Here is a 12,290-nt window from a genome sequence, read left to right on the forward strand (position 1 = left end):
AGTGAGGTCCAGGAAGGAAGAGATTTGCTTAAAGATATTTAGGGAATATACAGGATGAGAACAAAATTTAAGTTCCCTAGACCACGGGTCAGTAAACATTTTTTTTTTTTTTTTACAGGGCTAGATAGTAAATACTTTTTTGCCCTTGCTGTGGTATTTGGTCTCTATCACAACTGCCCAATTGACATTGTAGCCCAAATGTAACCAAAGGTAACACATGAATGAATTAGCCTGTGTTCCAATAAAACTTTATTCATAAAAACAGGTGTCAGGCTGGATTTGATCCATTGGCTGTAGTTCAGTGACACTGTCCTAGATCGTGGAGTTGTTTTCTCTCTGCTAATCTGGCTTTGAGAGATGAGAACTTCAATCCAGTCTCTTTTAAAATACACATATGTTTGTTGGCCCCATTAATGTCTAACGTAGGAACAGAAAGCCAAACACCGCATATTCTCACTTATAAGTGGGAGCTAAACAATGAGAACACATGAACACAGGGAGGGGAACAACACACACTGGGGCCTGTCAGGGGGTAGGATTGAGGGAGGGAGAGCATTAGGAAAAATAGCTAATGCATGCTGGGCTTAATACCTAGGTGATGGGTTGATAGGTGCAGCAAACCACCATGACACACATTTACCTATTTAACAAACCTGCACATCCTGCACATGTACCCTGGAACTTAAAAATTAAGAAAAATAATAAAATAAAACATATATTTAAATCCCTTTCCACTCCATGCCATTAACTAGGTGGAGGTTGTTGCAAGGCCATTGCCATTAATGATGTCTTGGCCTAGAATACACAGAAAAGATTCCTCAGGTCTCAGCGTTTTTTTCTCCCAGAGTAATTTGAGGGCAGAAGAGAATGAAGTCCACTAGGCAGAAGCCCAGAGGTTGTGAGGAGAGAGGGCAGCTTAATCAGTTAATATTTATAAAGTGTCTCACAGATGAAATGTGCTATTATTAGGCCTCCTGAGGAAGACTCTTATGCAGTTTTAATGCGGCAGCTGAGTGTCTCAGGAAATCTCACAGGCAGCATGCATTCAAACTGGCTGGGGTAGAAGTGCTGTCTGCTGGCCTAGGATTTAGCGGAAGAGTTCTAGAAAGGCTCTTGATCAAGAGAAAGGCCTGGAGGGGAGGGAAAAAAGAAGGCCCCTGGGGGAGGGGAAGTGTGACTGTGAGCAGCAGCAGTCTGCTGGTGCATCTGTGACTGGTGCATCTGTGACCAGGGGGCTGGTGACATCTGTGGCTTGTTAACCCAGTGGTGGCAGGGCCATTTCTCAGAAGCCCCCATGAATGAGGAGACATTATGTGAGAAGAGCTCCTCTTATTCCATAATAACATCTTTCATGATTTATTTGGTAAATTAAAGTCCTCACCATTTGCACAGTTGAACATAAATAAGGGTGGGGTATGTGTTTCTCTCTCTCTCTCTCTCTCTCTCTCTCTCTCTATATATATATATATATATATATAGAGAGAGAGAGAGAGAGAGAGAGAGAGAGAGAGAATGAACACCATGCTGGCTATTGGCCGTTTATTATCTCATTCTTTATCCTGTAAGTACAGGGAGTTCTGAGAGGTACAGAATTGAGAAGGAGGGGGAAAGGGATGGAAGAAGAAAGCCTTCATTTGAATGCAGTAGAGTGAAAGAATGGCACAGGTAGAGAATAAGGCATGCAGGAAAAGGCTAGCTAACAGGAAGGGCTCAAATGCAAATAAGGCCATCTCCTCTAAAAGCTATTTCCAGGTTCACTAGCAGTTAGCAGTACATTTGGTCACCACTCGTAGAGACATATGTCCTTGCCGAAGTTCACATATTGAGAATTCCCTTAACTGGATTTGTTTTTCAAAAGGAACTAGAAATTATTAGAACAAAGTAAAGAAACACTTCTAAATTAGTGATTTCAGAAAGTAGTCCGTATTTGACGGTCTCAACTTCAAAGACAGTACCAGGTGTTAGGGTTGGGTAGGGGGATGCCTTTGGCCAGACGAGGGTTGGGGGCAGGTGAACAGGGTACAGTCATGGAAAAGTCCTTCAATGAGAAATTTAGACATCTTATTCCGATCTAACCCAATTCTGTCTCTAGTTATTACTATTATAATTTATTGGGTGTTTACCGTTTATCAGCCACTTTACCTACATACTCTGTAATCCTTTTGACATGCTTGTGAGGTTGGTATTTTGGTCTCCACATTAATAAATGGTCCCACCTGTATGAGGAACCAACTGTGGCTGACAGAAGGGCTCACACACTTTCTTCTACCCTCCCTGCCTCCCGTGCCATATTGAGCACCCCTCTGGGCCTTGGATTCTTTGTTGCAAAATAAGGGGATACGATGAGATCATTTGTCAAGTCTTTTCCAGAACAGTGCAAGGTGCCTTCATCCTCAAGCACAGAAGCTCTGCAGAAGACAATTTTCAGAGATGAGTCTCTCCTTTCCTCATCTTCTAGGACAGCGCTTCTCAAATGCTAACACACATGAGAACCACCTAGAGATCTTTTTAGAATGCAGATTCTCATTGGGAAGGTCTTGACTGGGGCCTGAGGTCCTGCATTTCTAATAGCCCAGGTGCTGGTCATACTTTGTACTGCAAGGTTCTTTAGGGAAATAGTAATAATATGCTACCAGACTTTTTGACCCAATGTACATATTCATAGGTGGATATGCAGAGTGTGATAGAGGAGCTCCAGGAGAATGAAGTAGTTGGTTTAGAAAAATCTGCATTCCCTCTGAAAAGCCCTCCTTTACTCTACCAGCACTGAAGTTTTCCTATTGTCTAGCTTCTCACAAGATCTTTTTCATTTCTCAGCTGAAGCAATCACAACCATGTTTTGTCGTTGCTTTTTTTTGGTCATTGTCTAATTCATCTGTTTTTGTATCTCTAGCATCTAGTGATAATTTGATATGTAGTTAGTGCCCAATAAATGATTACTGGATGAATGAATGGATCAAAGGGTAGACTAAGGAAAAGAAATCTTCAGGCCTATGAATATCATCACTAAACTGAAGGAGATGAAGTTTGTGGCATTCTTTCACCCCCTTTTCTGCAGGCAACATGTCTAAGTCCAGCAGGTGACAGCCCAGCCTAGCTTGTCTATGACTTAGGATTTTGTTCCAGGGAATTTTACTAATACAGAGTATAACATGCAAGTGACACACAAAAATATTTGGTCTGCTGACCAGATAGTATCTGGATACCTTTATCCGTGCCTCTCTGGGTCACAGCTCTCTCCCTAGGCCTTCTCTGGCTATCAGTTGAGGTCCTTGAATTGACAAAACACCCATAGAAAATAAAACAGGAGAGAGGACGGGTGACTATAAGGGTTCACTGAGTGTCTGACTGGGGATTAGGGAAGATGACTTTTAAGGCCCCTTCTGTACATGAGATTCCATGTTTGTATGAAGGATAGGGACATGTGCTTCCATGAGGTACTGGGGGTTATCAAGGCATTCTCTCTGGTGTGGGTTTCAGAGCCATTATGAAATTCCTTTCCTTCAAATATACAAGTACATTTGATGGAGGGTTGGGGTAGGGTGTTTTCCAATATTGAGGACTTTAGGGAGCGAATAAGCATACAGAATTTGGTCTGCTCCAGCATGAAATTTCAACCTCTTACAGAGTCATATTAATTTGTTCACCATTATAACTGATACTCATTTGACAAGTGCCGAACTGTTTTATTCCGAGTAGAGTTGTTACTGACTTATTGGATACAAAGAACTGAAGAGCTGTGACCAGTAGTTAAAGGCCTCACTAGGATTTCGATGACATGAATTGGAGAACAGAATGGCACATGTATACCTATGTAATAAACTTGCACGTTCTGCACATCATGTATCCCAGAATTTAAAGTAAAATTAAAAAAAAAAATAAGGGCCGGGTACAGTGGCTTATGCCTGTAATCCCAGTACTTTTGGAGGCTGAGATGGGTGGATCACCTGAGGTCAGGAGTTTGAGACCAGCCTGAGCAACATGGTGAAGCCTGACCTCTACTAAAAATACAAAATTAGTCATGCGTGGTGGTGCATGCCTGTGCTCCCAGCTACTCAGGAGGTTGAGGCAGGAGAATCACTTGAACCTGGGAGGAGTTTGCAGTGAGCCGAGACTGTGCCTAAACTCCAGATTTTGGTGAGTAAATAATATATCCCTGAAATGAATAAAATAAACAATAAAAATAAAAGAATAAGAAATCAAAAACAGAAACTTCTTTTTCACTTTCTTTCTGATAGAGGAGATAAAGTCCCCCTCTGGGTCTTTCCCATCTTGTCCCTCCTCCCCTGCCTTTCTCTTCACAGAGCATTTTTCTCCAATATATCCAAAATATTTCTCCCTAACTCAGTAAATTAAGAGACTCAACTGCATTAAAATATTTGTAATAGTCACTGAATCAAATTTTTCTTTTGTTGTTAATAAGCTCAAACTAAATTCAGTTGACTGTTTTCCTTCCCTGAGTCCCCAGTGGTTGAGGATTTCCATAGACCCTCTGTTACTGCCCCTTGCATATTGCATTGGGTTTGCATTCTGCTTTGTTTCCCTCACTAGGCTAAGAACTGCTGGAGGACAGTGACATTGCCCTTTATCTTAATATTCCTGCTCCCAGTCAAATGTTTGCTGAATGAATGAATTATCTTTGAAAGATTATAAAAGATTTTCCACCTTTGCTTTTGTACAATAAAACCGTGTTCCTGAAAACTTGCAGTAAACAGAGTATTTGCAAATCAAATTGTGTATTCGCACAGGAGGGAAGCTTCTTAGCAGAAAACTTGGAGTGAATCTTTAAGCGAGTGGAGAACTAATTCAACAAATGTTCAACGAATTTTGATTAAGGAGCTTCTGTGTTTCAGGCACTGGGATCAGTGCTGGGAATCTAAAGATGAATAAAATGGATCCTTGGTTCATCAATCATCTCTAACTCAGTGAGAGTAGTATTCTAGGCTTTCCTTAACTGGTGCTATCTGTATTTGATGGGGCACATTTTAGTTACTAGAAAAAATAAACTTTTGGTATATTGCTTTTCAATACAACAAGATAGAGTATGTGCATATAGTAATTCATATTATATATGTGACATATGTTGTATACCTTGTGATATTGAAGTGTAATATGCATATAATATAATTATAATATGTGTAATATATATATGTCATGTATAAGAAGGCAGGTGAAAATTCCCATGAAAATATGTTCCAGAAAATTTCATAAAACTCTCTTTGTGGAGTCTGGGACTAAATTCATCTGCAGCTGGGAGACCTTGTGACAGTCAACCACTGTGCTGAGGGAAAACTCTACTGGCAAAGGTCCTAGAGAAATTCAGGTTATTCCCTTAACCTCACCTATAGAATCATTTAAATACTTAAACCAGGCTATGTTATTATTCCGAACCCAAGCCCCTTCCTAAATCCTATAGTGAGATTGGCTATCTGGTCTGCTGACCGCATAAAGGAGATTAGGTAGAGCATGTATGTGCCTCAACATGGATTGTCTCCACCACTGAAATCATAACCTAAAAAGCATGCTTTTCCCTTTAGGAGAGGCTCAATTCAAGGTGGGACATGTCAGGGTGTGGTGAGGATGTTGCCACAAGGCTCCTTTTACCTCCTCAGATGACAGCCAGTGGTGCTATCCTTTCCTGACATGCCTGAGATGGTCTTGTCTTCCCAGATCTGCTTCCTTCTCATGGGCAAGATAAGTCTTTGCTAGAGTCATCCTACAGATATCCCCAAAATGAGACAGAGATAAAAGTACCTTCAGTGGCTCAGCCTAATTCAGTAATTTGAATTAAATGCACTTGGTTTCAAATACATCAACAACAAACGATTGTGTTCATTTTTAGGTTTACCTTAATTTAAACCTTAAGTAATCTAAAATTTGACATAATATATTTCCCTTGTTTCCCTCAGTAGATGAGCAAAGGGACTAAAAATCACAGTCATAATAGCTAACGTTTATTAAGCACTTACGTGTCAGGCAACTTTTCTCTGCTTCACATTTATTAGGTTGCTTAATCCTCACAACAACCTTGTCAGCTAAGTGCCATCCTTAGCCCCTTTTACAGAAGAGGGTGGCACACAGAAGTTCAGTAATTTCCCCAACAGCACACATAAGTCAAAGTTCCAAGCAGCAACTCATATAATAAGCACCTTTTAGTACATTTTCTGTGCAAGTATAAAGCATATAAGATGGTAAATATTACTGCCCTTATCTTGCAAACATCGGCAGGTTAGGCATACGCATGAAAAGTTGCGAGTGCAGAGTCAACAGAAGTGGAGGACAGTGTGGGAAGGATGCCCGGTGCCCAACACAGCCGAGTAAACAGTGGGGCTTCAATACATTTTATTATTTTTCCCTGTACACCATATTTACCCCAACACACTCTCTAAATGTCACCATTTCTTAATCCCTGTCTTGGTGTCCCTCAAGCTTTTCCTGTTGACCCCCTGAGGTCACCTCATTCCCTCAGTTAGGACCTCTCTGCTGATGAATCTGCTGATGAGGCAAATGAGGTGCCCTCTGAGACCAGCATCCCTTGTCTGTAACAACCTGAGGGATACATGTTTTGTGAACCCATCACAGACAATCAGTCTAGAGCAGCTAGATTCTTTTCCTCTCCAAACTCTCTTCCCCTCCCTAGTCACGACCCCTGCCAACGGCTCTGTCTGACATCCCTACTGGCCCACTGGACTAACCTAAGTTTTTAATTCTGCTGCCATCTCCAACTTCTCTCCACCATTTTTGTCCAAACAGATCTTAAATTCTCTCAATTACTCTCTTCTGTATTTCTTGCAAACCTCCCTTTATTTCCCACCATCATTGTCAGCTTTGCAATTTCCACCACCAATAGTTCTTAACAGCCGTGTGGTGACTCCGGAGTGGTTTGATGTTGGTCATAGGTCATCTGTTTTCAAATGAATAAAGTGTACCAATTATTTACTTAATATTTGGGAGAGATTTAAGTTTATGTATATAATATGCAAGACTAAGAATGAAGGGATGAGTAGAGAAAATAGTGAAGTGGAAGCTGGTAGCCTATGAGTCTATCCCTACCTGGACACAGTGGTGCAGCTAGTCTTTGTGCTTGGGAGCCATGCATAGGATAATTATTTGGGAAAGCAAATGGAATTGAAAGAAGATGAGAAAATGTGAAGGAAGGGCCGGGCGCAGTGGCTCACGCCTATAATCCCAGCACTTTGGGAGGCCGAGGTGGGCCGATCACTTGATGTCAGGAGTTTCAGACCAACCTGGCCAACATGGCAAAACACCATCTCTACTAAAAATACAAAAACTAGACAGGTTTGGTGGCACATGCCTATAGTCTGAGCTGCTCGAGAGGCTGAGGCATTAGAATCACTTGAGCCCAGGAGGCGGAGGTTGCAGTGAGCTGAGATTGTGCGGCTGCACTCCAGCCTGGATGACAGAGTGAGACTCTTTCTCCAAAAAAAAAAAAAAAAAAAAAAGAGTGAAGGAAGGACAAAGATTTTCTGGAGGTAGAGTCAGATTAGGGTTGGAAGCTAGAAAAGGTAGTCAATTTCTTTCTTAAGCAGGAATTTACTGAGTTCCTAGTGATGAAAGACAAGGAGTTTGGTAGGTAGTAAGGGAGTGGATATGCTGTGTAGAGGAGAAAGGAAAGGCATGTTGATCAGGTCGTTTGGGTTTCATGTGACCTGACACTTTTGGCAGAGGCAAAAAAAAGTGAGGTGCGAGGTTGGAGTAGCCTTTGACATACAAGGGACAGGGACAGTAAAGTGGCCATAGGTTTGAGACACTTGTAAGTTTGAGTTGTGTAACTCAAGGCTGCAGGAATAATGATGACAATGATAATAATTAACCTTTATTAGATGTTTGCGGTGTAGCAGGCACAGTGCTAAATGCTCTGCATGGGTAATCTCACTAATGGCTTTGTCTCATCAGGGCCCTGCTGACTCATATTTGTCTTGGTTGACACACATGTGTGAGTGGCAGCATCAACCTGGAAGCCAGACAGGTCTAGATTCAAATTCTAGCCTTATCATTGCCCAGTCGTGTGACCTTGGACAAGTCAATTAATATGCATGACATTTATTTTAATGGGAATAATTATCCACCTGTTAGGGTTTTTGTGAGAATATTGGAGATAAATATGTGGCATGGAATAGATTGCTAACTGTCCTCAAAAATCAATTTCCCTCCTCTTATTCCTGGGAGCATAGCTGGACTACATTTCTTGGCCAATCTTACTGTTAGTTGTAGCATTGTGAGAAGAAAGCTCTTCCTGTGGAAGGTGAACAGAAGTGGTGTGTGCTATTTCAGGCCTGGTCCTTCACCCACCATTGTGCTTCTCCATACACTGTCTCCTTTTTAGCTGTTGGTTGGAGGTGCCCAGAACAACCTTGAAGGCCACAGTTGAAGATGGCAAAGCTGCTTTTGCCCTGGGGTCTTAAATAAAATGCTGAGAAATACCAACCCAGACCACTCGATGAGAAAGAAAGAAACTTGTTCTGAAAGTCCCTGATATTTTGGAGTTTGTTGTCATCTGTCCTACTCTAATATCTAAGGTTAAGAGTCTAGTACCCTGGGTGGTTGCTAGCACTTGTTCAGCAAATGCTTCTCACATCAGGGCAGGGTAAGAGTTTTATATCTACCATCTGGTGAAAAGTGGATACATACAGTAGGTGTTAAGTACATTTTTATTGATGGATTAATTAGTATTGCTTGGCCAATTTGAAGAAAAGAAATAACCAAAAATTCTTCCTCAAAACGAAATCTATATTTGACCTAATTTAACCGGAGACTACTCTTCTTCAGTGACACAGTATTTACTACCTGTGATTGAGTTGCCTTCCCTCTTGTGAGCACACATCGTGGCTGCTGTTTATTGAATTACGGGCCCTTGGCTGTTTTATTCCCTTTTTCAACTGTTTCGTGAAAAAACAACAACAAAACTTGGCATGCTAGAAAGAACAACTGTTTAACAATGGGGGCTACTAAATCCATTAGCACACACAGCCTGAGAGGGTGTTAAGGTTAAGAAATTTGAACCCCCAGCTCTCTAAGCTCTAGAAATGCAAAGCTGCATTTGGAAAGGTCTCTTGAGTGGGCCAAAGGAAGCCCTTCATCACTTTGGCAAATCACTGGAGCTTTCTGAGATCCATTTTCCTCTGTAAGATGTGTGAAGGTCCTCTGTCCCTCAGTACATTTTATACTCAATCCTTTGTAGTTGGCTGGGCTGTTGAAGATCACATGAATAATGCATGTCATGCACTAGGATAAAAGCACATAGTGTTATGCAAAGGTCGTGCTGCTTACTATTATTTTTATTATTTCACTGGAGTCAGGAGGCCTAGGTTCTAGTCCTGACTCTGCCACTAATTAACCACTCTTCTTGAGTCAAATCAGTTACCTTCTCTGGGCCTTTGTTCCTCATCTATAAAACAACACTGTTGATCCAAATGATCTCCAGGGTCCCTGCTAGCCCTGGAATTCTGTGATTTTAATTATTTCTGTGATTCTGTTATTAAAAGGCAGCCAGCCTCATCCTTGGCAGTCCTCTATGACAGCCAGCTTTCATTTTTAAAAAGCTAGGGTGAGGCGGGGCTCCATGCCGCATCCTTCTTATGGCACTGCATCTTTGGGAGTGGCTCTGCGGCAGACCTATCAGGGAGTAGCAGCAGGGTAGCCAGCAAGGGCCATTTACCACTCGAAGCCCTGGACAAGTGTGAGAAAGGACTTCTGGCCTGAGCCATTATTCTCTTAAAGACAGCATATGTTTTATTGTCAGTTTAAAGAGGGCTCCATTGATACCCCCTACAAGCCAGTAAGCCAGTGTTGATTTCCTCCTTGACATATGTCTTGAGGCTCTTTGCTAAAGGAATAGCAAGTGTGTGTGTGTGTGTGTGTGTGTGTGTGTGTGTGTGTGTGTGTTATTGGAGGCTGTCCTGTCCACTGCTGGCACCACAGAGCACCCCAAAACCTTCCTTAATAATTCTCTCTGGGTTCGATTGTGCCTTTTTGATACCGTACCTGTAACAAATGGCTTCCCCAAATGGCTTTTCTCCTGCTTCCAGCCTCTGTTTTCACTCTGTAATTTATAATTACTCTATTTTTTATGCCCCTCCATTTTATACCTCTTTAAATCTTATCTTGGCTTGAAAGAGCTTCCTTTATGAGCCACAGTGAAGGAGCAACAAGGAGCTCACATTTGGCTGCTTTTGTATTTGAGTCACACTGATGGTCTTATTTTATCCCTTGGAAGCCTTGAATGTAGCACCCTTATGAGTGCCCTGCATGCAAAGCTGTTATCCATCCTGCCCTTTGCAACAATTCAGAAATTTACAGGTCTGTATTCTCTGACTCCATATTTAACTGGTTTTATATCCATTTTTGAACAGTAGTTATCCCCCATTCTACCCCCAAATTATAGGCAAAAGCCCTACTCCTGCACCTCCTTTGTCTCCTATTGGTCCTGAGACTGTCCGTGTTTTTACAGTGAAGGGACCTGCAAGGTCAGGAAAAGGAAATGGTTTTTAAATGCTTCCTATTTTATGAGACTACCAATGCCTAGAGAAAAACGCCATCATTCTAGGGAGGAATAAGAAGACTGGATTATTTTTTAACATGAGTCTTTCATGTTAGTGATCCAGCCAGTTAGGCCACCCAAGATATTGGGGATCAACAACCTGGTTCAGTATATTTTCAGGCCTTTGCTGTACCTTTGGGACCCTTTGTTTAAATAAAAACTTAGAGAGTAGCAACACAAACAGTGGAATGGCTCCTATTGAGGATGGAGGGTACTGGCTCTGTGCGGAGGGAGAAGAGAAACCAGATCTCATTCCTCATGTTAGCAGCTTCTGAAGGGGTCCTCTGTACCCCTATTGATGTGTATAATTTAATTGTGAAGCACGCATTTGTCCTTTACTAAAATAATTTCAGGTAATGGGGATCCTGTTAGAAAGACACCTTTTAGAAATTTTGTTTTGTTTTTCCAATGACCCTGAAATTAGAATTTCAGAGTAATCAGCAAAGGAAGAGATTTTATCAGCTATCTCCTAGATTTATTTTCCTACACATGCCCCCTTTCCCTTTTTTCAACACGTAAAGTAACAAAGGTATAAGAAGCTATAATTACATGGCTAATTAATAATGGAACTGATCTAGGTTAAGATGTTCTTGATATGTGATGATAGGAGTGCATTTTCATTAATGCACTCTAGTTCCAGGGGTCTTCTTGCTGGAGCTGTAGAACCAATGGGTGAAAGCTATTACTTCCAGGGAAGGAGGTATCTAGGTTATCAGCCAGGCAGCAGAGGTAGCATTGTAGATCCATATAAGCACTTACTAGCTGGGTGAAGCTGGCAAAGTTATTTAGCCTCTCTGAGCCTCGGTTTTCTCATCTTTGAAATGGGGATAATGGTATTTACTTCTATAAAACTTTGTGAGAATTCTTTATGAAATAGTTACATGTTAAGTATCTGAAGCTTAGTAAGTAGTAAAGGAATGATATTTATAATTATTGTTATTATTTTCTACTAGAGTCTAGTCTAGTGACTATAAATCCCTTAGGGTCAAGGATTTTGTTATATGCATAGCTTGTATCTGTGCACCCAGCAGGTACTCCATAAATGTGTGTTGAATGAACAAGTGACATCCTCAGGGCTTGAAGTCCTTTGCCTTATATTGAGTCAAGTAAACATATACTTTACCCTCCCACCTGAGCAGTGGAGTGGGAAAGAAACCCCATTCCAATTTTAAGGCCCAACGTTTAAAGTTTTCTCCAAGGAAGCCTTCCCTAATCCTCCAGAATTAAGACATTTTCCTTTCTCTGAGTTTGTCTATCACATTGCTTTTGCCTTTATCAGGGTATTTTATCATAGTCAGGCTGTCACACCAGCTGCACTTCTGTTTGTAGGCCCCTGAGTGCTGGAGCTGTGGCAACTGTCACATTCTCCATAATACCAGGCCCCTCAAATCACACTTGGCAGGCTCTCAATTTTTATTTAGTTGGAGGGAGCAAGAATTAACAATACTGTAGTATTTTTGGTGCCAAATCTCAAATTCCTTTGCAGTCCTCTTCTTCATACATATTTGAAAGAGTATAGTTTCTGCCTTCAAGGAGCATCTAACTTAACAGAAATTGTACTCTCTTTGGAGTACATAGTGACAAGAGAGACTGACTTTCAATGTTTCCTGCTAATAGCAGGTGCCCAGTAAGTGATCACTGATGGGCGAAATAAATGAAAAGCACAAAAGCTGTTATTTTGTTTGCTAGTGAAGAATAATAAGGCACAGAAAAGTTAGGTGATTTACCC

General features: G+C 41.3%; 1 protein-coding gene across 4 annotated transcripts in view; it reads right to left on the reverse strand.

The window, feature by feature from the left end:
* The window catches only part of FSHR (follicle stimulating hormone receptor), a 192,359-nt gene that overhangs the window by 58,253 nt on the left and 121,816 nt on the right, over window positions 1-12,290 (reverse strand). The window lies entirely within an intron of this gene.

This window comes from Homo sapiens, chromosome 2 (assembly GCF_000001405.40).
Source record: "Homo sapiens chromosome 2, GRCh38.p14 Primary Assembly".
Lineage (NCBI taxonomy): Eukaryota > Metazoa > Chordata > Mammalia > Primates > Hominidae > Homo > Homo sapiens.